The sequence below is a fragment of the Homo sapiens genome, chromosome 6, assembly GCF_000001405.40.
Source record: "Homo sapiens chromosome 6, GRCh38.p14 Primary Assembly".
Taxonomy (NCBI): Eukaryota; Metazoa; Chordata; class Mammalia; order Primates; family Hominidae; genus Homo; species Homo sapiens.
In genome coordinates this window covers 149,722,872-149,749,996 of record NC_000006.12, presented here as the reverse complement: position 1 = coordinate 149,749,996, position 27,125 = coordinate 149,722,872, and the positions used below count along the sequence as shown (strand labels likewise).

General features: G+C 44.2%; 2 protein-coding genes across 15 annotated transcripts in view, besides 5 other annotated features; one reads left to right on the top strand and one right to left on the bottom strand.

Annotated features, from left to right (window-relative positions):
- Positions 1–302, bottom strand: part of PCMT1 (protein-L-isoaspartate (D-aspartate) O-methyltransferase) — a 61,727-nt gene extending 61,425 nt beyond the window's left edge. For 6 of the 8 annotated variants that reach the window (NM_005389.2, NM_001252049.1, NM_001252050.1 and 3 more), the window contains exon 1: positions 41–302. In NM_005389.2, the coding sequence (NP_005380.2) occupies positions 41–269 (229 nt within the window). In that variant the 5' untranslated portion in view covers positions 270–302. The remainder of the gene's footprint in view (positions 1–40) is intronic. The other 2 variants (NM_001360456.1, NM_001360452.2) reach the window with 1 other exon arrangement.
- Positions 117–506: a silencer, noted in NCBI's record as "silent region_17666". NCBI's record gives its function as "represses an Ori minimal core promoter by ATAC-STARR-seq in GM12878 lymphoblastoid cells {active_cell/tissue: GM12878}" and the evidence as "EXISTENCE:reporter gene assay evidence [ECO:0000049][PMID:35858748]".
- Positions 117–1,256: a biological region, named in NCBI's record as "H3K27ac hESC enhancer GRCh37_chr6:150069877-150070842".
- Positions 291–1,256: an enhancer, noted in NCBI's record as "H3K27ac hESC enhancer chr6:150069877-150070842 (GRCh37/hg19 assembly coordinates)". NCBI's record gives its function as "activates a minimal SCP1, AML or CMV promoter by ChIP-STARR-seq in naive H9 embryonic stem cells {active_cell/tissue: H9 hESC(naive)}" and the evidence as "EXISTENCE:reporter gene assay evidence [ECO:0000049][PMID:30033119]".
- NUP43 (nucleoporin 43) lies at positions 639–25,682 on the top strand. Of its 7 annotated transcripts, none has more exons than XM_047418728.1 (9): positions 639–653; positions 3,479–3,621; positions 3,935–4,057; positions 6,282–6,359; positions 7,427–7,607; positions 11,219–11,354; positions 13,375–13,526; positions 18,262–18,384; positions 22,799–25,682. In XM_047418728.1, the coding sequence occupies exons 2-9, from the start codon at positions 3,502–3,504 to the stop codon at positions 23,026–23,028; spliced, it is 1,143 nt and encodes a 380-aa protein (XP_047274684.1). In that variant the 5' UTR covers positions 639–653; positions 3,479–3,501; the 3' UTR covers positions 23,029–25,682. The 7 variants fall into 7 exon arrangements, 6 of the variants coding, with proteins under 6 accessions (XP_047274684.1, NP_942590.1, XP_005267017.1 ...); NR_104456.2 differs by lacking the exon at positions 639–653 and having other exon boundaries at positions 3,468–3,621; positions 22,799–23,668; positions 25,304–25,682; NM_198887.3 differs by lacking the exon at positions 639–653 and having other exon boundaries at positions 3,468–3,621.
- Positions 3,099–3,158: an enhancer, noted in NCBI's record as "active region_25267". NCBI's record gives its function as "activates an Ori minimal core promoter by ATAC-STARR-seq in GM12878 lymphoblastoid cells {active_cell/tissue: GM12878}" and the evidence as "EXISTENCE:reporter gene assay evidence [ECO:0000049][PMID:35858748]".
- Positions 25,268–25,470: a silencer, noted in NCBI's record as "fragment chr6:150045663-150045865 (GRCh37/hg19 assembly coordinates)". NCBI's record gives its function as "represses an EF-1alpha promoter that drives an FKBP-Casp9 reporter gene in an ReSE screen in K562 erythroleukemia cells {active_cell/tissue: K562}" and the evidence as "EXISTENCE:reporter gene assay evidence [ECO:0000049][PMID:32094911]".
- Positions 25,683–27,125: the final 1,443 nt, after the last annotated feature.

The window sequence follows — 27,125 nt, the reverse complement described above, 5'->3', positions numbered from 1 at the left end:
CTGCCCCAGCTGCCCTACAACGGGCGGAGGTGGCACTTACTGCGGAGATTGTGGATTAGCTCCGAGTGGCTGGCGCCGCCGGATTTCCAGGCCATCGCTAAGCACACTCGGAGCAGGTACAGAACCACCTTCAGCGCGACGACGGTGCCCAGCAGTTTTCCCAAGAGTGAGACCACCTCCCACACCGTCACCGCCCCGCTCGCGTCCCCGCTGTAGCTGCCGCTGTTACTGCCGTCGCCGCCGCTGCCGCCACTGCGCGCTCCCGGCATCCCCCGCGGCACGCATGCGCTCTGTGACGCCGCGCGGCTTAGGGTGCGGCCGGGTGGGGCCGAGGGCGGGGGAGGCGTGTGGCCCAGCCGCCCGCCCCTGTGGCTGCTACCGCTGCCAGGGGACTGCAGGGAGGCCGGGCTGAGTCAGCGCCACTTCCGCTGCTGCGTGTCCCTTTCTGAGGCCTCGGACCGCACCGCTTTCGCCCTGCGGCCCGGCTCGGTAGCCTGATCAGTCGCGTTCCCGGCTGTGTCTCCGGTCACCGAGCGGGACGGCGGGATGGCGGGGTCGATCTGTGCAGACGCTGCTAGTGGTTCCGCAGTCGTCGCTGGGTCAGCTGTTTCGAGCGGCGGATCTGCTCCTATAGATGTCCAGATTGTTAGACGGTGGGCTTCATCCGTCCTACCTCGCCCAACCCAGTTGACTAATATTTGGGTCGGTGGAGCCCGAATAATACAATAAGAATAAAACCCAACGACAAAGGCCCTCTCTAACCCGAGTACACCGGCCTCTGGCTTTGTGACAAGCACGTCACTGTTAGGCTAAGCAGAGACTTTGGAACCCCGGTTCTAAAGCTCTCAGAGTGGAAGAGTACCAGGACATGGGGGTGGGGGTTGGGGCAAAGCTTTGCTCCCTTAGAATAATACCAACGTACAGAGTTGCGATTGGTTAAAAAATACCACTGTGTCCTTTGGTGAACGTGTTATTCTCCCGACGTAAGTGTGCATTTCCACCTAATTAAGCCTCACAAATTCCACCGTGGCTTTATTGCTCTCAGCTCTGCAAGACCATGAGTGAGAAGCTCACTGAGAACATTGCTTGTCGCGTCCAAATCGCTGACTCCTAATTAGACCTGAGACTGACAGAATCCAGCCATCATCTAGTCCAGTAACTTTTTTTTTTTTTTTTTTTTTTTTTTTTGAGACGGAGTCTCGCTCTGTCGCCCAGACTGGAGTGCAGTGGCGCGATCTCGGCTCACTGCAAGCTCCGCCTCCCAGGTTCAGGCCATTCTCCTGCCTCAGCCTCCCGAGTAGCTGGGACTACAGGCACCCGCCACCACGCCCGGCTAATTTTTTGTATTTTTAGTAGAGACAGGGTTTCACCGTGTTAGCCAGGATGGTCTCGATCTCCTGACCTTATGATCCGCCCGCCTCGGCCTCCCAAAGTGCTGGGATTACAGGCATGAGCCACAGCGCCCGGCCTCCAGTAATCTTTTAGAAGGAAACAAAGCTAAGACATCTGTGCCACTATATCAGCACAATTTTCAAATTCTAGTTCTTATCCGATTTTGTAAAATGTGACACTGGCCTGCTTCCAATCCAAAATCAACATTACCTATTTTCTGGGATTATGTGACCATAAATGAAACTACAGGCAAAACTGGTTTCTTTTTGTTTTTTTGCTTTTGATTGAGACGGAGTCTCACTCTGTAGCCCAGGCTGGAATGCAGTGGCATGATCTTGGCTCATTGCAACCTCCACCTCCCAGGTCCCGGTTCAAGCAATTCTGCCGCAGCCTCCCGAGTAGCTGGAATTACAGGCACGCACCACCATGCCCAGCTAATATTTTTGTATTTTTAGTAGAGACAGGGTTTCACCATGTTGACCAGGCTGGTCTTGAACTCCTGACCTCGTGATCTGCCTGCCTTGGCCTCCCAAAGTGCTGGGATTACAGGCGTGAGCCACCGTGCCTGGCCAAAACAGTGTTCTTTACTTCAATATTAAACATGAATAAAATTGTTGATTTGGGACTGTAACCCACTTAATATTTTCCATTTCATCTTTCTACAGTTTCTTGATGATCTTCCATTTGGAGAAAAGAAAAAAGTCAAATCCTTGATAGGAAACTGGTAACTCTAAAGCTGACCCAGATGGATTGCATTTACATGCAGTGCTTCCGTAAACTGTCCCTGTGAAGTAGGACTACCAATATCACATAAAAACAACAGTAGCATAATGGCCCTTTTTAAAGAAATAACCAACATACAGTTATGAATACCTATAGTGTAAAAGAGCTTCATTTTTTAGTTGAATAAGTCATATCTCTTGTATTCAGTAGGATTTACATTCTAATGGGGGAGGAATATGCATCTAAAGAAAACTAACATAAGATATATCCAAAATATATGTCATTAGTGGTCTAGATATCAAATGCTAGCTCACGCCTGTAATCCCAGCACTTTGGGAGGACAAGGCAGTTGGATCACCTGAGGTCAAGAGTTCGAGACCAGCCTGGCCAATATGGTGAAATCCCGTCTCTCCAAAAAAAAAAAAAAAAAATTAGCCAGGCATGGTGGCGCACACCTGTAGTCCCAGCTACCCTGGAAGCTGAGGTGGGAGAATCACTTGAACCTGGGAGGCGGAGGCAGAGGTTGCAGTGAGCTGAGATTGTACCACTGCACTCCAGCTTGGGCCACAGAGACCCTGTCTTAAAAAAGAAAAAAAATGGTGTTGATTTAGATCAACATTGGCTGGGGTCGTCAGGAAATGGTAAAGGAAAGAACAGATCCTTGAAGGATAGGCAGGATTCTGAGGAGTAAAGAGGAAGGGAAGAATATTATAGGTGTAACCAAAAGCACAGAAGGAACCTAGAAAACTGATTCCTGGGCCGTTGACAATAGGTATCACAAACTTCATTCTTAATCATGCACGTAATTGAATTGATCAAAGCTAGGCAATTGGCATCAAAACTAAAACTGGAGTCTTTCAGAATTCCAACTCCAGGCTCTGACAGTGTGTATTAACTTTGAAGCAAAGTATTTGTTTGGGAGACAAGAGGGAGAGGTTTGGGATAGTAGGTTGGCACTTTATTCGAGGTACTTCCACGAGTATTTAAGGATTTTTGAATCGTTTTCTATGCGCAGTGACCTGCAACTGCTTAGGTGTGGTTTCAAGGTGGTTTCTACTGCATTGTTTTTGTTCTGTTTTTGCACTTAAATTTTACACTGCACAATTATTGAACACAAGAAAATACTGACATTGCAGATTAGGAGCAAGTCCTACTGCTCAAAGGCCAAAGCGCTCTTGCCTTTGCTCAGAGCTGCTCTGTGAGATGGGTGGGCCTCTCAGTCTAGGTACTGACTGTGCCCACACTGGCTATCGACGAGAATTGACTCTCTGCAGCCACCGTCTCCGTCCTAAAGTCCCATCCAATCAGGGTTCCGCGGGAAGAGGCGGTGCTGAGAGGCGCGTACTGTGCTTGCTTTTTGCAGTACCTGCTGCGGCCGCTTTCGGCATGGAGGAAATTTATGCGAAGTTTGTGTCCCAGAAAATCAGCAAAACCCGCTGGCGACCGCTGCCTCCGGGAAGTTTACAGACCGCGGAGACGTTCGCTACAGGATCTTGGGACAATGAGGTATCGCCGCTGATAGGGACGAGCCCCTACCTCCTCCCTCTCTCCGGTTGAGCTGACCCCTGGCCTTCCGCGCGCCAACTCCCACCTTCTGGTTCTTCTCGCACTTTTAGGTCCCCCGGACCCCTGTCTCAGGCGCGGTTGCTCCGTAGCTCAGAGCCGGTGATGGCATGCCTGAGCCTCGTATCTCGTTGTGTTTTAAACTCACCATACCATTTGAGATGTTTTGGAGCAACATTTCCGGACGGGAGCACAACTTTTATTTTCCGAGAGTTGACGTTTATGTCATCTCAAGACAAAACTTTCTGTTTTACAGGAAAATTATATTTCACTGTGGTCTATTGGAGATTTTGGAAACTTGGACTCTGATGGAGGGTTTGAAGGAGACCATCAGTTATTGTGTGATATCAGACACCATGGTGATGTAATGGATTTACAGGTAAATCTGTGTAGCATCCAAAAGCTAACTTTGAAAGTCCTGAGTAATACATTTAAACAAGCAGAGCATCATAAAAGTTGTCTGGTGTCACCCCTCGTTTACAGAAAACTGAGTGCTCTGTAAGTTATGATTTGCCCAACATCATTTAGCCATTTAGTGGCAGAAAAAGGACTGGGAAAGGGGATGTAGATTTAATCATACTTTTTTATTAATTGACTGTCGACTATGTGCTAAATACCGTTTGGGGAGCTTTACAAAAATTAATTATTGTTGCATGCCAGTGAATCAAGTATCGTTACTTTGTTTTACTAATGAGAAAATTGAGACTAATATATCTTGAGCATGTACTATGTGACAGATACTGTGCAGGGGGATAACATCATTTTGTTTTTTGAATTCTCATAACAACTCCCTAAGTAGAGATTAGTGCTCCCGTTTTAAAGATTTACCACGATTTAGTGAACTTAACTTGGCCAAAGTCTCAAAACCAGTAATGAGTGGTGGGGATGAAATTGAGTTTTCTTTTTTTTTTTTTTTTCCAAGATGGAGTCTCGCTCTGTCACCCAGGCTGGAGTACAGTGGCATGATCTGAGCTCACTACAACCTCCGCTTCCCGGGTTCAAGCGATTCTCCTGCCTCAGCCTCCCGGGTAGCTGGGACTACAGGCGCAGGCCACCATACCCGGCTAATTTTTTGTATTTTTAATAGAGACGGGGTTTCACCATATTAGCCACGATGGTCTCTATTTCCTGACCTGGTGATTTGCCTGCCTCGGCCTCCCAAAGTGCTGGGATTACAGGAGTGAGCCATGGCGCCCGGCCGAAATTAAGTTTTCAAATCCTGGTGTGGAGAGCCCCTGCATTTTCCATAGAAAGCTACCTAGCCCTGGTGCGCGCTTGTAATCCCAGCTACTCTGGAGTCTGAGGCAGGAGAATCGCTTGAACCCGGGCGCAGAGGTTGCAGTGAGCCGAGAGTGCGCCAGCTTGGGCAACAAGAGCGAAACTCTGTCTCAAAAAATAATAATAATAAATAAATAAATAAATAAATAAATAAAATAAAAAAGAAAGCTATCTAGCTCTAGGAAAGATACATTTTTTTTTTTTGGAGACGAAGTCTTATACTGTCACCCGAGCTGGAGTGCAGTGGCGAGAGCTCAGCTTACTGCAACTTCTGCCTCCTGGGTTCAAGCAATTCTCCTGCCTCAGCCTCCCGAGTAGCTGGGACAACAGGCACATGCCACCATGCCTGGCTAATTTTTGTATTTTTAGTAGAGATGGAGTTTCACCATGTTGGCCAGGCTGGTCTTGAACTCGTGACCTCGTGGTCCACCCGGCTTGGCCTCCCAAAGTGCTGGGATTACAGGTGTGAGCCACCATGCCCAGACGATATTTTCCTTTCCTTTTTTTTTTTTCTTTTTTATGACGAGTCTTGCTCTGTCACCCAGGCTGGAGTGCAGTGGCTCGATCTCGGCTCACTGCAACCCCACCTCGTGGGTTCAAGTGATTCTTCTGCCTCAGCCTCCTGAGTAGCTGGGAGTACAGGCACATGCCAGCACGCCCAGCTAATTTTTGTATTTTTAGTAGAGATGAGGTTTCAACGTATTGGCCAGGCTGGTCTCGAACTCCTGACCTCGTGATCCGCTTGCCTCAGCCTCCCAAAGTGCTGGGATTACAGGCGTCAGCCACCGTGCCTGGCTTTTCTTTTTTAAAATTTTTATTCTTTTTTTGAAACTGAGTCTTGCTCTGTCAACTAGGCTGGAATGCAGGGGCTCAATCTTGGCTCACTGCAACCTCCACTTCCCTACAACCCCAACTCATTTTTGTATTTTTGTAGAGACGAGGCCTCGCCATCTTGCGCAGGCTGGTCTTGAACTCCTGAGCTCAAGTGATCCGTCCACCTAGGCCTCCCAAAATGCTGGGATTACAGGCGTGAGCCACTGCACCCAGCCAGGAATAATATTTTCCTAAGGTTTTATTGTGTTGGTCCCAAATTAAATCAATTGTGGGTGAATGTGTCTAGGAAAAAATATTGTTTATTCATGAAAATACTTTGTATGGCAGTTTGGCCTTTCAGCTTCATTAACACATTTTATTTCCTTAGCACTCATGGCTCTTTGCTTTTTAAAATTGTTATAAGATTTGCTACTAATTGAGTTAAATAAACAAATGGACTTCCTCCCTGCTAATATTTCTGAATCTTTAACAAGCAGAAATTTTCTCTTTAGTTTTTTGACCAGGAAAGAATTGTCGCTGCTTCATCAACAGGATGTGTAACAGTTTTCCTTCACCATCCAAATAACCAGGTAAAGAACTTTAGTTTGAGAAGTGATTTTTTTTTTTTTTGAAATGGAGTTTTGCTCTTGTTGCCCGCGCACTGGAGTGCAGTGGCGCAGTCTCGGCTCACCGCAGCCTCCACCTTCTGAGTTCAAGTGATTCTCCTGCCTCAGCCTCCCAAGTAGCTGGGATTACAGGCACGTGCCACCACGCCCGGCTAATTTTATATTTTTAGTAGAGACGGGGTTTCTCCATGTTGGTCAGGCTGATCTCACCTGACCTCAGGTGATCAGCCCTCTTCGGCCTCCCAAAGTGCTGGGATTACAGGTGTGAGCCACCGCGCCCAGCCAAAGGTAACCTTTTCTAATAGACATGCCTAGTTAATATAAGTCCCAGTTCATGTTAAGGGTTTTTTTGAGTCATTTAGAAAAAGCTATAGAGATTAATATTTTATTTATTTTATTTTATTTTATTTATTTATTTTTTTTTTTGAGACAGAGTCTCTCTCTGTCACCCAGGCTGGAGTGCAGTGGTGCGATCTCTGCTCACTGCAACCTGCATCTCTCTGGTTCAAGCAATTCTCACACCTCAGCCTTTCAAGTAGCTGGGATTACAGGCGCGTGCCACCACACCTAGCAAATTTTTGTATTTTTAGTAGAGACGGGATTTTGCCATATTGGCCAGGCTGGTCTCGAACCCCTGATCTCAGATGATCTGCCTGCCTTGGCCTCCCAAAGTGCTAGGATTACAGGCATGAGCGACAGCCGTGGGCCAGATATGTATATTTTAGATGTAGGTTAATTCCCATAAGAATACAAAGAGTTGCCTTTGAACATCCAACTGCTTGATCCCTAAAAGTCATTACTGTAGTTTGAGATAAATGTGGGGCATTATTAAACAATATTCCTTTTGTATCTAATTCAGTGTATATAGAACTTTGATGGCAGTAGTTTCTAGATTTCATTATTCTAAAGGAAAAAGGAGAGATTTATTCTTGTAGAAGGGTGTGAGTCAGAATTTAAAGATACTCTTGTTGGGAAGAAGTGCTAATTCCTTAGTACTTTGCTTTAATAGTATCCTCATTTCTGATGCCTAGACTCTGTCAGTCAACCAGCAGTGGACTACAGCTCACTACCACACAGGCCCTGGCAGTCCTTCCTATAGCAGTGCACCATGTACAGGTGTTGTGTGCAACAACCCAGAAATCGTTACAGTTGGAGAGGATGGTCGAATAAATCTCTTCAGAGCTGATCACAAGGAAGCTGTAAGAACCATAGGTAAGAAAAATCCCAGCCTGGCCAACATGGCGAAACCTAGTCTCTTCTAAAAATACAAAAGTTAGGCTGGGTGTGGTGGCTCACCCCGGCAATTGCAGCACTTTGGGAGGCCGAGGCAGGTGGATCACCTGAGGTCGGGAGTCCGAGACCAGCCTGACCAACATGGAGAAACACCGTCTCTACTAAAACTACAGAATTTGCTGGGCATGGTGGCACATGCCTGTAATCCCAGCTACTTGGGAGGCTGAGGCAGGAGAATCGCTTGAACCTGGGAGGCGGAGGTTGCAGTGAGCAGAGATCGCACCATTGCACTCCAGCCAGGGCAACAAAAGTGAAACTCTGTTTAAAAAAAAAAAAAGAAAAGTTAGCCAGGCGTGGTGGCGCATGCCTGTAATCCCAGCTACTCAGGAGGCTGAGGCAGGAGAATCGCTTGAACCTGAGAGGTGGAGGTTGTGGTGAGCTATGATGGCACTCTGCAGTCCCACCTGGGTGACAGAGGGAGACCCTGTTTCAAAAAAAGAAAAATCATTGTACTCCTTTCATCCATCAGAGTAATTGAGCACTTACCATATACTAAGTAAATACTGCCAGGCACGGTGGCTCATGCCTGTTACCCCAGCACTTTGGGAGGGTGATGCAGGCGGATCACAAGGTCAAGCGATCAAGATCATCCTGGCCAACGTGGTGAAAATCCGTCTCTACTGAAAATAACAAAAATAAGCTGGGTGAGGTGGTGTGCATCTGTAGTCCCAGCTACTCGGGAGGCTGAGGCAGGAGAATCACTTAAACCCGGGAGGCAGAGGTTGCAGTGAGCCAAGATTACACCACTGCACGCTAGCCTTGTGACAGAGAGAGACTTCATCTAAAAAAAAAAAGTAAACACAATGTTAAGTGATGGAGGGATGTAAAAATATATGGCCGGGTACAGTGGCTGACGCCTATAATCCCAGCACCTTAGGAGGCAAAGGCGAGCAGATCATTTGAGGCCAAGAGTTTGAGACCAGCCTGACCAATATTGCAAAACCCCATCTCTACTAAAAATACAAAAATTAGCTGGGCATGGTGGCACAGGCCTGTAATCCCAGCTGCTTGGGAGGCTGAGGCATGAGAATCGCTTGAACCTGAGAGACTGAGAGGCTGCAGTGAGCCGAGATCATGCCACCGCACTCCAGCCTGGGTGACAGAGCAAGACTCTGTCTCAAAAAAATATAAAATATATGTACACATGTGCACACACAACGCAAGGCAGGATCCCTTTGTCAAGACAGTATGTTGATGAGACCAGTATGAATGACTGACTAGAGGAAACAGAAACCTTTTTTTTTTTGGTGAGAGGGCATTATCAGATAAAACATCTGGAAGCAGGTAGTAATTAATAGTTTTTCTAGGTTCTAGACCATAAGTAATACTAAAAGATGGCGTGCTAGACAAAGGGAATAGGCCAGAGGCAGGATAAAGACATTCAGAGAATGACAAAAAGTATAGTTTGACCCGACTTTAGATATTTATTTAGGAGAGATGAAAGATGAAGCAAGAGAGAAGTAAGCTGGGGCCAGATTGCAAAGAGTCTGTAATGCAAAATCACAGAAGTTACATCTTTTAGGTGGAAAACTAAGTGTATTGGTTCTGAACTATGCTTCAGCCAGACTTCTCTGAGGAAATTTTTTAACTGTCGACCACTCTAGACCTTTTAAATCAGAATCTCTAGGAATTGAGCCCATGAATCCATTTTGTATGTGTGTGTTTTGTTTGTTTGTTTGTTTAGATGGAGTCACGCTCTGTCACCAGGCTGGAGTGCAATGGCACGACCTCAGCTCACTGCAACCTCCACCTCCTGGGTTCACGCGATTCTCCAGCCTCAGCCTCCCGAGGAGCTGGGACTACAGGCGCACGCCACCACACCCACCTAATTTTTGTATTTTTAGTAGAGACAGGCTTTCAACATGTTGGCCAGGATGGTCTTGATTTCTTGACTTTGTCATTCGCCTGCCTCGGCCTCCCAAAGTGCTGGGATTACAGGCGTGAGCCACTGTACCTGGCCTTTTGTGTTGTTTATTATGATTTTCATTTCTGAGTTAAGTTGCATTACTTTTTTTTTTTTTTTTTTTTTTTTTGAGACAGGGTCTTGCTCTGTCACCCAGGCTGGAGTGCAGTGGCATGATCCCAGCTCATTGCAACCTCTGCCTCCCAGGTTCAAGCGATCCTCCCACCTCAGCCTTCCAGGGATGTGGGACTACAGATGCACACCACCATGCCCAGCTAATTTTTGTAGAAACGAGGTTTCACCATGTTGCCCAGGCTGGTGTCAAACTCCTGGGCTCAAGTGGTCTGCCCACCTCGGCCTCCCGAAGTGCTGAGATTACAGACATGACCCACTGCACTGGGCGACATTACTTATTTGTTAATTAATGACCATTGCCTGGTGGCAGTGTAGAGGAGTGGCACAAACTAAAGTCCATAAAGTATATGTTAAATTATGAGGCATAAGTTCTAAACACTAGGAAATCAACAAAAAGGACCATTATGACAATAAGGAGTGACTTCATGGAGAGGGCGAGAGTTGATGAGGGTGAAAATGAGTAGATTTGGGATGAGTCTGCAGAATAATACAAGGTTAGAATGAGCTCTGTAGGAAGCACTGGAGTTTGGCTCAATAGAATGGAAGTTCTAGGTCAGGGACTAGTGGGAAGTAAGATTGGGTTTAGAGGAGCTTGAACAACTCTCTCAGAAATGCAGGGTAACAATCTTAAGAGTTAAAAAGAAATGTATGAAAACTCAGCCTTCCATTTAGAAAACAGTTCAAGGCTGGGCCTGGTGGGTCATGCCTGTAATTCTAGCACTTTGGGAGGCTGAGTGAGGCGGATCACCTGAGCTCAGGAGTTCGAGACCAGCCTGGCCAACATGGTGAAACTCCGTCTCTACTAAAAATACAAAAATTAGCCAGGCATGGTGGCATGTACCTGTAATCCCAGGTACTAGAGAGGCCGAGGCAAGAGAATCGCTTGAACCTGGGAGGCGGAGGTTGTAGTGAGCCCAGAGTACGCCACTGCCCTCTAGCCTGGGTGACAGAGCGAGATCCATCTCAAAAAACAAAAAGAAAAAGAAAACAGTAGGCCAGGCGTGGTGGCTCAAGCCTGTAATCCCAGCATTTTGGGAGGCCGAGGCTGGTGGATCACCTGAGGTCGGGAGTTCGAGACCAGCCTGACCAACATGGAGAAACCCAGTCTCTACTAAACATACAAAATTAGCTGGGTGTGGTGGCACATTTCTAATCCCAGCTATTTGGGAGGCTGAGGCAGGAGAATAGCTTGAATCCGAGAGGTGGAGATTGCGGTGAGCCGAGATCGCGCCATTGCAGTCCAGCCTGGGCAACGAGCAAAAAAAAAAAAAAGAAACAGAAAACAGTTCAGATGTCCTGTGAGTAAATGTTTTTCCCATCCAAAGAGAATCCATTTAAACATATACATTAACCATGCATTTTTCTATAGAAATTTAAATTATAAGTTACTGGAAATTGTAATATATCAATCCATGAAAGGAGTGTGATTTAAGATTTTCTTGGGAAAAAAAGGGGACTCATTAACACATACTACCATTTTTTAAATTTTTAGACAATGCAGATAGTAGTACACTCCATGCTGTAACCTTTCTTCGAACTCCTGAGATTCTTACTGTAAATTCAATTGGACAGTTGAAAATATGGGATTTCAGACAACAAGGAAATGAGCCTTCTCAGATATTGTCACTGTAAGTGTTGATTTGTAATTTCAGTAATGTAATCCACAAATTAATGTGTTAGGTTGTTTATAGCTACTGGCTTTAAGCCATATTGAATTTTAATTGCATTTTAAGAGGGAGATCCCTGATTAAAATTTGGTAGAGCAAGCATAACTTGACGGGGTTGGTACTACTATGCTTCATTTAGTAATTATTTGTTATAGTGATTCAGAGCCTTTACTCTTTGAAGTTTGTATTATTTCATGGAGAACTTATTTCTGCTCTTTCAATGATTGTTTAATGGATAAAATATACTCCAGATGTAATGATTGGGGGAAAAATATAATTCCAAATATTTTTTCTGAGCAGAAATCCCCCTTTGTAGGTGTACAACGTTCTCTCGTAAGAAAATAGAATGTGTCACACTGAAAAAATAGTTACATAAACTAAGCATTAAATAAGATGATAAATAATATTTAGTATATAATTGATGTATGAGTTTTTAAATAATTTAACAAGTGGAAATGTGATTTGTACATCTTACCATCGGATTGTCTTTCATTCCATGTCTCCAAATTGAAGTGAAAATGAATAATTGTGGCCTTGAATTATTTCAAAATTGTACTATTTAGAAATATATCTAATTTAGTTCATTTTTTTTGGTATCATTAAGATTCAGCCAGGCTGGGCGTGGTTGCTCATGCTTGTAATCCCAGCACTTTGGGAGGCCGAGGCAGGCAGATCACTTGAGGTCAGGAGTTCAATACCAGCCTGGCCAACACAGTGAAACCCCGTCTCTACTAAAAATACAAAAACTAGCCAGGCATGGTGGCACGTGCCTATAGACCCCGCTACTCAGGAGGCTGAGGCAGGAGAATCACTTGAACCTGGGAGCCAGAGTTTGCAGGAGAATCACTTGAACCTGGGAGGCAGAGTTTGCAGGAGAATCACTTGAACCTGGGAGGCAGAGTTTGCAGTGAGCTAAGATCGTGCCATTGCACTCCAGCCTGGGCAACAAGAACAAAACTCTGTCTCAAATAAAAAAAAGATTCAGCCAGTAGCTCCAGCCACTAAGTTGACACTTAGTTACCATATAAAACATGTTTCTTGGCTGAGCATGGTGACTCATGCCTGTAATCCCAACATTTTGGAAGGATTATCTGCGGTGAGAAGTTTGAGACCAGCTAGGGCAACACAGTGAGACCCCATCTCTACCAAAATTTCTTAAAATAGCCTGGCACGGTAGCATGTGCCTGTAGTCCTAGCTACTTGGGAGGCTGAGGCAAAAGGCTCTTTTGAGCCCAGCTTGCAGCAAGCTGTAGATAGGCCATTGCACTGTAGCCTGGGTGACAAGACAAGACCCTGTCTCTCTTTTTTTTTTTTTTCTTTGAGACAGAGTCTTACTCTGTCACCCAGGCTGGAGTGCAGTGGCATGATCTTGGCTCACTGCAACTTCTGCCTACTGGGTTCAGGCGATTCTCATGCCTCAGCCTCCCAAGTAGCTGGAACTACAGGCATGTGCCACCATGCCTGGCTAGTTTTTGTATTTTTAGTAGAGATGGGGTTTCGCCATTTTGGCCTGGTTGGTCTTGAACCTCAAGTCATCCACCTGCCTTGGCCTCCCAAAGTGCTGGGATTACAGGTGTGAGCCACTGAGCCTGGTCTCTTAAAAAATAAACAAAAAAAAACAGGCTGGGCACGGTTACCAGTCATCCCAGCACTTTGGAAGGCCAGGGTGGCTAGATCACTGGAGCCTGGGAGTTTGAGACCAACCTGGGCAACATGGAGAAACCCCATCTCTACAAAAATACAAAAAGTTAACCAGGCATGATGGTACACACATGTACTCCCAGCAACTCAGGAGGCTGAGGTGGGAGGATACCTGAGCCCAGGGAGTTTGAGCCTACAGTAAGCAATGATTGCAGCGCTGCATTCCAGCCTGGGTAAGTGAGGCCTTGTCTCAAAACAAACAAAAAACGTGTTTCCTGTGTTACACAAAGATAAATTATACTTTATTTGATTTTGACGTCATTGTTATCTCCCACAAAAGGACTGGTGACCGAGTGCCACTCCACTGTGTTGATAGACATCCCAACCAACAGCATGTTGTAGCTACTGGTGGCCAAGATGGAATGTTGAGTATTTGGGATGTTAGACAAGGTACTATGCCTGTATCTCTGCTGAAGGCTCATGAAGCTGAAAGTAAGTATTGTGAAGATACAGAAAGTTTATATTGGGTGAGTTATATGACATATAATAAGCACCTTTCCATAATGATACATGTGGATCATTTTACATCATAGCTTTTAATGGCTGAATTGTGTAAATTTAAATAGTTATGTAATTTCTTTTTACTCGACATTTAAGTTCTTTAACATTTGTTTTTGTTTTTTTGGAGACGGAGATTCACCCTTGTTGCCCAGGCTGGAGTGCAATGGCGCTATCTTGGCCCACCGCAACCTCTGCCTCCTGGGTTCAAGCGATTCTCCTGCCTCAGCCTCCCGAGTAGCTGGGATTACAGGCATGCACCACCACACCTGGCTAATTTTATATTTTTAGTAGAGACTGGGTTTCTCCATGTTGGTCAGGCTGGTCTTGAACTCCTGACCTGAGGTGATCTGCCCAGCTCGGCCTCCTAAAGTGCTGGGATTACAGGCATGAGCCGCCGTGCCTGGTTTTTTTTTTTTTTTTTTTTTTAAAGAGACAGGGTCTGGTTCTGTCGCCCAGGCTGGAGTGCAGTGGTGCAGTCACGGCTCACTACAGCCTTGACTTCCAGGGCTCAGGTGATCCTCCCGCATCAGCCTCCCAAGTAGATAGGACTATAGGTGTGTGTCACCATGCCTAGCTGATTTTTTGTTGTTGTTTGTTTTTTTTTTTGTAGATATGGGGTTTCACTTTATTGCCCAGGCTGGTCTCAAACTCCTGGGCTCAAGTGATCCTCAGGAAGTGCTGAGATTACAGGTATGAGTTATGAGCCACCACATCAACCACAGGTTTAATTCTTATATCCAAAACTGTAGTTAGAATCCTTAGATATTTATCTCTGTGTGTGTTTTTTTTTTTTTTTTTTTTTTGGAGACAGGGTCTCTCTCTGTTGCCTAGGCCAGAGTGCAGTAGTGGTGTGATCATAGCTCATTGCAGCCTTGAACTCCTGGACTTACACGATTCTCCCAAAGTGCTGGGCATAGCCATTATGCCCATGCCCAGCCTTATGTACTTATTTTCTTAGGATAATTTTTTAGAAGTAGAATTGCTAGGCCAAACATTTTGCATAGCGCATTGACAGATTTTTCTACACAAAAATAATACCAGTTTAAGCCAGGCACATTGGCACATGCCTGTAGTTCCAGGCTCCTCCTACTCAGGAGCCTGAGGCAGGAAGATTGCTTGAGCCTGAGAGTTTGAGGCCAGCTTAGGCAACATAACCTCTTTAAAAAGTTAATAATACTAGTTTAATCCAGGTGAGTGGCATGCACCAGCTTCTCAGGAGGCCGAGGCAGGAGGATTGCTTGAGTCCAGGAATTCAAGGCTGTAGTGCATTATGATTGCACCTATGCACTCCAGCCTGGACAATATAGTGAGACCCCACTCCCTGAAAAGTGATAAAAATCATACCATTTTATATGCCATAGTGAAGTGTGCAAGAATGCCCTTTTCCCATGCAAATGCAGGCTGTCATATTTGTTAATAAATGTTGTGCTCCTCAATTTATTGTTGCATCACATCATTTTTTTTAACATGAACAATAGATTTATAAGCTTTTTTTTTTCTTTTGATTCTGGTGGAGATGATTTAGCCGGACAGAAATTTTTCATTTTCTCACTCTGTCTTTGATATCATGCCAGAATGGATTATCCTTTTTTTTTTTTTTTTTTGAGACAGAGTCTTGTTCTGTCGCCCAGGCTGGAGTGCAGTGGCACAATCGCGGTTCACTGAAACCTCTGCCTCCTGGGTTCAAGCCATTCTTCTGCCTCAGCCTCCCTAGTAGCTGGGACTAAAGGCATTTGCCACCATGCCTAGCTAATTTTTGTATTTTTAGTAGGAATGGGGTTTCACCATGTTGGCCAGGCTGGTCTCAAACTCCTGACCTCAGGTTATCTGCCTGCCTTGGCATCCCAAAGTGCTGGGATTACAGGTGTGAGCCACTGCGCCCGGCCCTATATATTTTTTTAAAAATGGGGTCTCTCTCACCCAGGTTGGAATGCAGTGGCATGATCACAGCCCACTGCAGCCTCAGCCTTGCCTCCCTGGCTCAATCAGTCCTCCCACCTCAGCCTCCCGAGTAGCTGAGGCTACAGGCACGCACCCCTACTACACCCGGCTAATTTTTTATTTTTTGTAGAGACAGGGTCTCAATATGTTGCCCAGGCTGGAGTGCAGTGGCATGGTACCTCACTTAAGCCTCAACCTCCTGGGGTCAAGTGATCCTCTTGCCTTGCCCTTCTGAGTAGCTGGGACTACAGGTATATGCCACTACACCTAGCTAATTTTTTTTATTATTAGATTTCTATAGAAATTATGATTCCATAAAAGATTTTGAGGAAATGATGGCCGGGGGCGGTGGCTTATGCTTGTAATCCCAGCACTTTGGGAGGCCGAGGCAGGTGGATCACCTGAGGTCAGGAGTTCGAGACCAGCCTGACCAACATGGAGAAAGCCCGTCGCTACTAAAAATACAAAATTAGCCGGGCGTGGTGGCACATGCCTGTAATCCCAGCTACTAGGGAGGCAGAGGCAGGACAGTCACTTGAACCTGGGAGGCAGAGGTTGTGGTGAGCCAAGATCGCACCATTGCACTCCAGCCTGGGCAACAAGAGTGAAACTCCGTCTCAAAAAAAAAACAAAACAAAACAGATTTTGAGGAAATGAGGAAGACTGGTATCTTTCAGAATTGAAAGTGATTTTGGAATATATAGAATTTCTTTGGGGCTGGGCACGGTAGTTCATGCCTGTAATTTTAGCACTTTGGGAGTCCAAGGCAAACAGATCTCTTGAGCCCAGTTGTTTGAGACCAGCCTGGGCAACATGGAGAAACCCCATGTCTGTTAAAAATACAAAAGTTAGCCAGGTATGGTGATACATACCTGTAGTCCTAGCTACTCAGGAGGCTGAGATAGGCGGATTGCTTAAGCCTTGGAGGTCAAGGCTGCAGTGAGCCATGACCATGCCATTCTGCACTCCAGCCTGGGCGCCAGAGCAAGACCCTGTTTCAAAAAGAGAGAGAGAATTTCTTTGAGTTGAATTATGTAGAAGTTTGTCACTGACCTATGTTCCTAAAGTATGAAGCATACATATGTGGGCTAAGAAATAGTTTTTCTTGATAAATAATCAACAAATAAAAAATAAAAAGCCCTCCATCTGAGACTGGATCCAAATTCTTGGAACATTTCCAAATTTTGGTTTGGTAGAAGTCAGTTGCTATTTCTGTGATAAAGACCAGAAGTATTCAGAATCTTGGCATTAACCAATATTGGATATTGCCTCTTAGAAATTCATTTTTATATTTCATTAGGATCTTTCTCAGTTTTTCCAATAATATAATCTTCATATATTAATGACACAGGAATTGAAAAATAAGACAACTTACCAATTTAAAAAAAAACTTTTCCGTAAAAGACAGTCATTCCTAGCTGGGCACACACCTATAATTCCAGCACTTTTGGGAGGCTGAGGCAGGAGGATTGCTTGACGCCAGGAGTAGAAGACCAAGGTAGACAACATAGCAAAACCCTGTCTCTATTTAAAAAAATAAAAATAAAATAAAATAAGCTTTTTCATAAAGTAATAGGGTTAAATGTTTTAGCAATGATTTTCTTTTCTTTTTTTTGAGACGTAGTTTTGCTCTTTTTGCCCAGGCTGGAGTGCAGTGATGCAATCTCAGCTCACTGCAACCTTGCCTCCCGGGTTCAAGCAATTCTCCTACCTCACCCTCCCAAGTAGCTGGGATTACAGGCACCTGCCACCACGCCGGGCTAATTTTTTGTATTTTTGGTAGAGATGGGGTTTCACCATGTTGGTTAGCTGGTCTTGAACTCCAGATCTCAGGTGATCCACTCACCTCGGCCTCCCAAAGTGGTAGGATTACAGGCATGAGCCACTGCGCCTGGACATTTTTTTTTTTCCTTGAGACAGAGTCTCACTCTTGTTGCCCAGACTGGAGTGCAATGGTGTGATGTTGGCTCATTGCAACCTCTGCCTCCCGGGTTCAAGCGATTCTCCTGCCTCAGCCTCCTGAGTAGCTGGGATTATAGGCACCCACCACCATGCCTGGCTAATTTTTAGTATTTTTAGTAGAGACGGAGTTTCACCACGTTGGCCAGGCTGGTCTTGAACTCCTGACCTCAAGTGATCCACCCACCTTGGCCTCCCAAAGTGTTAGGATTACAAGCATGAGCCACTGTGCCTGGCTACTATTTTCATTTATTTCCTTGCCCAGTACGCAAATTTAGTTGGCTTCTTTTTCCTTTCTTTTCTTTTTTTTTTTTTTTTCTCAGACAGTGTCTCACTTTGTCGCCCAGGCTGGAGTGCAGTGGTGCGAGCTCGGCTCACTGCAACCTCCGCCTCCCAGGTTCAAGTGATTTTCCTGTCTCAGCCTCCTAAGTAGCTGGGACTACAAGCACGCGCCACCACGCCTGGCTAACTTTTGTATTTTTAGTAGAGATGGTGTTTCACCATGTTGCCCAGGCTGGTCCTGACCTCAGGTGATCCACCCGCCTTAGCCTCCTAAAGTGTTCTTTTTCCTTTCTATGTGTTATAGCCATTGGAAAGTTACATTATGTCTTTTCTTTAATTCTGAAGCCTTTAATTTTTAGGACAGACTTGAGGCTCGAAGGTATGTGATGGAGGATAATGGAAGATGATGCCTAGAGATGGGGGTTTAATGTTGTTTGTTCAGCGAATCTGCACAGGAATGAGCTTATTGATTCTTGTCTCTTAGTGTGGGAAGTTCACTTTCACCCATCCAACCCAGAACATCTTTTTACCTGCTCTGAAGATGGATCCCTCTGGCACTGGGATGCTTCCACAGATGTACCTGAAAAGTCGTCACTCTTTCACCAAGGTAAAACTTTTTAATGAATACTGTTATGTGTACTTTTTTTTTTTTTTTTTAAGACAGAGTCTCACTCTATCACCCAGGCTGGAATGCAGTGGCACGATCTCAGCTCACTGCAACCTCCGCCTCCTGGGTTCAAGCGATTCTCGTGCCTCAGCCTCCCGAGTAGCCAGGACTACTAGTCATGCACCACCGTGCCCGGCTAATTTTTTTGTATTTTTAGTGGAGATGGGGTTTCACCATGTTGGCCAGGCTGGTCTCGAACTCCTGACCTCAAATGATCCGCCTGCCTCAGCCTCCCAAAGTGCTGAGATTACAGGAGTGAGCCACCACACCTGGCCTTTTTTTTGAGACAGAGTCTTACTCAGTCACCCAGAATGGAGTGTAGTGGTGCAGTCTCAGCTCACTGCAACCTCTGCCTCTCAGGTTCAAGCTTTTCTTGTGCCTTAGCTTCCCTAGTAGCTGGGATTACAGGTGTGTGCCACCACAACTGGCTAATTTTTTTGTATTTTTAGTAGAGATGGGGTTTTGCTATGTTGGCCAGGCTGGTCTCAAACTCCTGGCCTCAAGTGATCTGACCACCTCAGCCTCCCCAAAGTGCTGGGATTACAGGCATGAGCCACTGTGCCCAGCCTGTTATGTGTAATTTTATCATACTTTTATTTTGTTTTTTTTTTGTTTGAGACAGCGTCTCACTCTGACATGCAGGCTGGACTGCAGTGGCATGATCACAGCTCGCTACATCCTCGCCCTCCTGGGCTTAAGTGGTCCTCCTGCCCCAGCCTCCCAAATAGCTAAGACCAGAGATGCTTGCAACCACAACCAGCTAATTTTTTTTTTTTAATTTTTTTGTAGAGATGAGCTCTCACTATGCTGCCCAGGCTGCTCTCAAACTCCTGAGCTCAAGCAATCTTCCTGCCTGGGCCTCCCGAGGTATTGCAATTATAAGCATGAGCTGGCTGTACCCAGCCATTTTATACTTTTAAATACCAAATTAGACATCCTCGTATTTTTTACTTAATGGCAAAACATTTTTATTCTCTTGCCTCAGAGTAAATTTGAGTATCACAGGGCTTGAAATCTGACTGTCAAGTTACTTACTACTGTATGGCTGATGGCTAGAAATGCTGTAAGCTGGCTCACTTGAGACAGCCAAGGTTCTCCTTTGTGAGTGCCATTAACCTGGACCCTCATGCCATAGCATAGACAGTGGCAAATCTTTCATATTGCATTGCCAAGTTTGTGTGAATGGCAAGAAAAAAGTTGATATTTGATGTAACTGAGGGTACTGGTTAAATGGCCTGATCTCAGGCCGGGTGTGGTGGCTCATGCCTGTAATCCCAGCACTTTGGGAGGCCAAGGCAGGTGGATCACCTGAGTTTGGGAGTTCGAGACCAGCCTGACCAACATGGAGAAACCCCGTCTCTACTAAAAATACAAAATTAGCCGGGTGTGGTGGCTCATGCCTGTAATCCTAGCTATTCAGGAGGCTGAGGCAGGAGAATTGCTTTTACCCAGGAGACAGAGGTTTCAGCGAGCCGAGATTGCACCATTGCACTCCAGCCTGGATAGCAAAAGCGAAACTCCGTCTCAAAAAAAAAAAAAAAGGGCGTGCTTTCCTCATTACAGTCAGTTGTAGGTTATGGTCAGCCAAAGACCATGCACTTGTAATCGGGGTTTATGTGTTTTTGCATTTTCCAAGTTTCCTGTTTTTGAGGGTTTGTCTGTGGCTCCAAAGTTCTTTTGCTTATTCATTTATTCAGAAATATTTACTGAATGCCTACCATGTGGTAGGCATTCTTCTAGGTGTTAGGACGTGTAACAGTGAGCAGAACGAAATGTCGAAACGCATAGAGCAAATATTCTAATAGTTAAAAAAATAGATAATGTATCAGTAAGAGTCCAATTAGAATGTCAGAAACTACCTTAGATGTAGAAGGAATTGGTCTCACATGTGTTAGAAGGGCTGGGAAAACAAAAGGTAATAGGAGGGGTGCTGGGAGAACAAATAGGAAGAAAAGGGAAAACCCAGAAATAGTAATTGTTAGTACCCCTGCTACTTGACTGTTGAAAATGCTGTAAAAGTTTGTTCTGAATTAGGAGAAAAGGCGCTCCCTCAACCAGGCTGAAACTACCACCAGTGTTGTTGCCAGAAACCTGGAGCAGGAAGGAGCTGCTTCTCCCTTCCGCCTTCCAGTCACCCACCATTAATACCTGCTATTGGCAAGGCCCATCTGGATGGCAGATGGCAAAGCAGCCTGGAAAGTGGAGTTTACCAACTTCTACCTCCTACAGTATATAGTGGAGCACAGCAAAGTGGAAAAGGAGGCCGGGCGCGGTGGCTCACACCTGTAATCCCAGCAATTTGGGAGGCCGAGGTGGGCAGATGACCTGAGGCCAGGAGTTCAAGACCAGCCTGGTCCAACATGGTGAAACCCTGTGTCTACTAAAAATACAAAAATTAGCTGAACGTGGTGGTGGGTGCCTGTAATCCCAGCTACTCTGGAGGCTGAGGCAGGAGAATTGCTTGAACCCGGGAGTTGGAGGTTGCAGTGAGCCAAGGTCACGCCACTGCACTCCAGCCTGGGCAACAGAGCAAGACTCCATCTCAAAAAAAAAGAAAAAGGAAAATAACATGGCCAAATACACTGCTAATTACCATGAAGAAGAATACAGCAGAGTAGGAGGATAAAGAATAAAGACAGGGGTGAGGGGAGCTACTCTAGTGAGAGTCAGAAGAGGCCACTTGGCAGAAGGAACATTTGAGCAGAGACTTAAGAGAAGTGAAGGCATAAGTGACATGAAAGCATTCCAGGCAGAGGAAACAGCAAATGCTGAGGGCCTGAGACAGGCAGAGAACTGCAAGGACACCACGGTTGGAGCTCAGGCAGCAGGGTACAGTGGTGGGAGATAAGGACTGGTGGCTGAGGAGCCCTGGGACTTTGTAGCCCATGATAAGGACTTTAGACTTATGGGAGGGGGAGGAGAAAAGTGGAAAACAGGGAGATGAGGAAGGAGTCTTATCACAGTGGCTTGAATAATGTGTTAATCTTTACAGCGTCCAAGAGCAATGTAAAATGTAGGGGCAGTAAAAGATAAACAGAAAAACTAAGGGGAAAAAAATTCTAAAACTTCTTCAGAAAAATTCTGGAGCGGAGAGCATGTGTGGAGCATGCATGCATGTCCATGCTATAACTTCATCTACAGAGAAACAAACAGTTTCATCTAAGGATTAACTAAGTATGTACTTCGTTTTTACTTCCTTCCTCCCCTAACCGCACAGTCTTGAACTTGCAAGTTTACTTTTAAGGAACCTTGGTTAGACTGGAAATAAAACTTTATTCTGTGTCTACTATTGCAAGGCACAGTATTAGACACTGTGAAAAAGTAAAACATATAAAATATGCATCCTGCTCTTAAGACATATTTAGTCATGGACAGAGGCATGGATAGTTCAATTAGGATATAAGAATTGTTATAAAGTAGTAAATTAATGGTACATACAAGTGCTGAGGGTTCAAGGAAAGAGAAAAACATGAAGTAGAGGTTGTCTTCAAAGTTTTCTTAGAGAAGGAAGTTCAGCCATATTTTAAAGGATCAGCAAGATTTTAAATGTACTAATCTTTAAGCTTCAAGACATAGGGACTTGGCACAGAGCACTTAGCACAGAGCCTGGCACATAGTAGGTACTCAGTCATTTGTTGAGTGAATTAAATTTGTACTTATTTGATATGACAGCAAGTTGAGAGGAAAGTAAGTTGCGAATAATGACTAAAATTGAAATATACTGCCTCTGCCTCACTTTATTCTATAGTAAGTACAGTGCGCTGTTAGAGATAAAACCTTATAATCTAGTAGTGTTCTAATCTGCTTGTAAGAACATTTATCTAAAAAGCATAAGAATGAAAGATTTGAGGTAAGGCGATTATATTTTAAGAAATATAGTAACAAATATATATTTAGAAATATATTTCTAGAAATGTTCATCTAGAAATATGTCTAGAAATTCTTTCTCATGATCATTTTATTTTGTTATTACCCAAGAGTTTATATTTCCATGTATTACCTACATTTTTGGTTTCTTTTTTTTCTTTCCTTATTCAACTTGTATGCTGGCCGTTTTGCTACCTTTCTGAGACTTTCCATTAAAAGATGAACAGAAAGTCAGTTGAAATCACCTGCTTTTCCTGAAGACTTCGAGTTTGGTATCCATATTATCCCATGGAAATTTGAATATTTAATATCACTGAATAAGCCTTTGGTCCAAAGTGGTGATGTATAATAATGGAATTATTAGCCTATTATTCTGAGAATTAAACACATTGATATCATCACCTTTCTAAATATCAGTAGAAGTTTGAATGTTTACTAATATAAAAATCATCTTGAAAGATTTCTTCCTTTTCTTTTTTTCTCCCAGGAGGAAGAAGCAGTACTTTTTTGTCTCATAGCATTAGTAACCAAGCTAATGTTCACCAGTCTGTCATTAGCTCCTGGCTCAGCACTGATCCTGCAAAAGACCGAATTGAAATCACAAGCTTACTTCCCAGTAGGTCTCTGTCTGTGAACACTTTGGATGTTTTAGGTCCTTGTCTTGTTTGTGGAACCGATGCAGAAGCAATTTATGTTACTAGACATCTTTTTTCGTAGAAGTACTATAATTATAAGATTTCAGATAGAACATGCAATTAGCCTTTTGAAATCCAACTTCTGTGCAAAATTTTAGTATCAGAAAATACGAGATTTGCAGGGGAAACATCAGTAAACTACCATTAATGTCAATGCCCAGTTTTGACTTTTGTTAGCCTGACACTCCCAAACAGTTGTAGAATCCGATAGATGACTGATGGCAAAAGATTGTGAACATGTGGAAGAAAATCAGTGGGATTCTGGTGCTGATGAATAGGTTGCCTTCAGAGTATTATTGACAGACAGCTTGTGGAACTAATTCTTTATTTTTGATGTTGTGGGAATTAACACATCAATGGTGGTTATGGGAACTACCAATGGGTTCCTACAATTTTTATCAGTAGTATGTGGCATATACACCTTCCTAGTGGCAGTTGCCAATGTTAATGATTATTCTTTTTATTGCAAGTATTTCCTATGATCCTTCCACACTTTATTTCCTTAATAATAATAAACTTTTTCAGAAAGAATTGAGTAGAGCAAAAATGACAAAGATGTGTAGCTGTGTTCAATTTTTTTTTTTTTTTTTTTTTGAGGCAGAGTCTTGCTCTGCTGGAGTGCGGTGGTGCAATCTCGGCTCACTGCAACCTCCACCTCCCAGGTTCAAGCAATTCTCCTGCCTCAGTCTCCTGAGTAGCTGGAACTACAGGTGTGCGCCACCACGCCCAGCTAATTTTTGTAATTTTAGTAGAGACAGAGTTTCACCATGTTGGCCAGGATGGTCTCGATCTCTTGACCTCATGATCCACCCGCCTCGACCTCCCAAAGTGCTGTGATTACAGGTGTGAGCCACTGCACCCGGCCTGAAATTTTTTTAAGGTGAAAATGTTTTGACAAGTTCCTTTTTCAGAATAGGTTTTTGAGCAGAACTCTTTCAGCTTGTTAGACCCAACTTTGCTTTTGTTTAGCTTCACAGCATAGCTGAAAGTTGCCAAACTGGACATTGTGCAATAAAGTAGAATTCTATATTGATAAGCAAACTATTTCCAAACTAAAAATGTGATAGATAAAAGTGTGATTAATCAAATGATATGATCAGAGTAAAGAATTTTGCCATTTTGATCCTTTTACTTTGTTTTAGCCACCTATAGTGTTACCAACCATCTTTATCCTTGTCTGCAGGGATAATAATGAACTAATGTAGTGTTTTAAGATAATTTAATGATACTATCTTTCCAAACTTTGTTAGATTTTAAATGTATTATTGACCTGAGACCTTAATGACAAATCACTGCTATTAGACAATTGAAGTGTTCATTTACTTTGTAATTCCAATAATCATAGTTATGGAATTATGGTAAGGTTTTGCTTTTCTGTCCTAATAAATATATATATTTTTTGAGATGGAGTTTTGCTCTTGTTGCTGAGGCTGGAGTGAAATGGCATGATCTCAGCTCACTGCAACCTCCGTCTCTTAGGTTCAAGCAATTCTCCTGCCTCAGCCTCCCGAGTAGCTGGGATTACAGGTGCTCACCACCACACCCAGCTAATTTTTGTATTTTTAGTAGAGATGGGGTTTCACTGTGTTGGCCAGGCTGGTCTTGAACTGACCTCATGATCCACCTGCCTCAGCCTCCCAAAATGCTGGGATTACAGGCTTGAGCCACTGCTCCCGGCTGATTTTTGTATTAGTAGAGACGACAGGGTTTCACCATGTTGGCCAGGGCTGGTCTCGAACTCCTGACCACAGGTAATCAGCCCGCCTCGGCCTCCCAAAGTGCTGGGATTACAGGCGTGAGCCACTTAGTATTTGTAACCATAAGAGAAAGTATATTTTAACAGCATTACATTTCATGCCAATTGACAAGTTTTGCCAATTTTAATAAGAAACTAAGCTTTATGTAATGTAACACCGTAATTTATGAATTTGTTCATTGTCACTGCCTTTATTCATGAAACTGTCAAATAGAGTGTCTTTCAAGGGTTGCAGGATCTTAGAGATAGAAAGTACCTTGGTGATCATCTCCAGCCTAAATTTCATCATCCCTTCTATGGTATTCCCAACAAATTATCATCCAACCTATACTTAAAAACATATGGTGGCCAGGCATGGTGGCTCACGCCTGTAATGCTAGCACTTTGGGAGGCCGAGGTGGGTGAAGCACCTGAGGTCAAGAGTTCGAGATCAGCCTGGCCAACATGGCGAAACCCCGTCTCCACTAAAAATGCAAAAAAAAAATTAACCGGGCGTGGTGGCAGGCATCTATAATCCCAGCTACTTGGGAGGCTGAGGCAGGAGAATTGCTCAAACCCGGGAGGCAGAGGTTGCAGTGACCCAAGATCGTGCCACTTCACTCCAGCCTGGGCAAAAGAGCAAAACGCCATCTCAAAAAATATACATATATAAGGAGATAAAGTTTCCCATTTTCCAATACAGTTTCACATTTGAACAGCCCTAATTGATACAACTTTATGGCAGGGTTTTAGTGTGTGAGTGGGATCCAAAACACTCAATCCTGTAAAAGGGTACAGTCCTATTGTATGTTAACACACTGATGATGTGAGCCTGTGAGATGAGCCAATCACCAGTTGTTATGTTCGAATCTGCTTTGTGTTGGGACGCTTTAATGTCAGGGTTTCACTAAATAAATGAATTTTCATATACTGAACTGAAATTTGCTTCTATCTGTCTTATCTCGGGAGCCACACACACAAAATTCCTCTCATCACATATTCAAATATTCAAAATTGATTATTATAGTCTCTCCAGTGAAGGTTTCCTTCTCTTTCTTTCCATTTTTGGCTAAATCCTTCTTATCCTTCAAGACTCCTTCTAGGTGTCATTTTCTCCAGACAGCTTTTATTGGCCTCCAGCAATCCGGACTAAATTGCACTCTGCTTCAAAAGCCCATTGTGCAGAACTTAAATTGTGCGCAAAGCAGTGTGTTAAGGAGCCTGTCTCCCCCTACTGGGCCACAAGATCAAGAACAGCGCCCATGTCTTCGTGTAACAGTGTTTAACAGTATCTGAACCATAGTAAGCAATGAGTCACTGTTAATTGACCTTGTTTTCACAATCTTGTTTTCCCTTTAAAAATTACTGCTCTTTGTCAAAGGCCTTTTTTTTTTTTTTTGAGACTTTAAGTCTCGCTCTGTCGCCCAGGCAGGAGTGCAATGGCACGATCTCAGCTCACTGCAACCTCTGCCTCCCAGGTTCAAGCAATTCTCCTGTTTCAGCCTCCCGAGTAGCAGGGATTACAGGTGTGCGCCCAGCTAATTTTTTGTATTTTTAGTAGAGACAGGGTTTCACCATGTTGGCCAGGCTGGTCTTGAACTCCTGACCTCAAGTGATCCACCCTCCTCCACCTCCGAAAGTGCTGGGATTATAGGCATGAGCCACCGTGCTCGGCCAGAGGCCTTCTTTTAAGTGTGACTTCCAAGATAAACACTTTTTCATATATTGTCTACCTTGGTGATTATGACAGAAATCTTGCCATCCTGTTAATAGGAATGATATTCCTTTGTAATGCTGTGTCAGCTTTCTGAAGTGTTCACATGTGATACTCCTAAGCCACACTTCCTATATTCGGAAGTTAATACAAATGGTTTTTAATCCTTAATATGGGCCTTTCTTGTTCTAAGAAAAATTTCATTTCAATATAGGAAAGGACTAACTATTTTCTTTGAATCTTTTGTAGAAGCTATTATTTTCTCCATAATTAGCCCAGCGTGCTCTCTCCACTTTCATCCCATTGATTAAGAAAGATGTTTGAGACAGGATTTCACTCTGTCACCCAGGCTGGAGTGCAGTGGTGTGATCCCCAGCTCACTACAGCCTCGATATCCTGGGCCCAAGTGATCCTTCCACCTCGGTCTCCCAAGTATCTGGGACTGCAGGCATGTACCACCAAGCCTGACTAATTTTTGCAATTTTTATTGAGATGGTGTTTCACTATATTGCCCAGGCTGGTCTTGAACTCCTGGGCTCAAGCAATCTACTTGCCTTGGCCTCCCGAAGTGCTAGGATTACAGGCAAGAGCCACCATGCCCAGCCAGAAAGATGTTAAATGAAATGAAGTTTTTAGGCCCACTGCTGGAGTCTTCTCAATTATCAATGAA

Bases quoted from the DNA above. Each gene is read 5' to 3' on its own strand.
- NUP43 (XM_047418728.1), top strand. From the start codon at position 3,502: ATGGAGGAAATTTATGCGAAGTTTGTGTCCCAGAAAATCAGCAAAACC. The intron at 6,360-7,426 runs GTAAAGAACTTT...TCTGATGCCTAG, and splicing joins TTCACCATCCAAATAACCAG to ACTCTGTCAGTCAACCAGCA. The intron at 13,527-18,261 runs GTAAGTATTGTG...CTTGTCTCTTAG, and splicing joins GAAGGCTCATGAAGCTGAAA to TGTGGGAAGTTCACTTTCAC.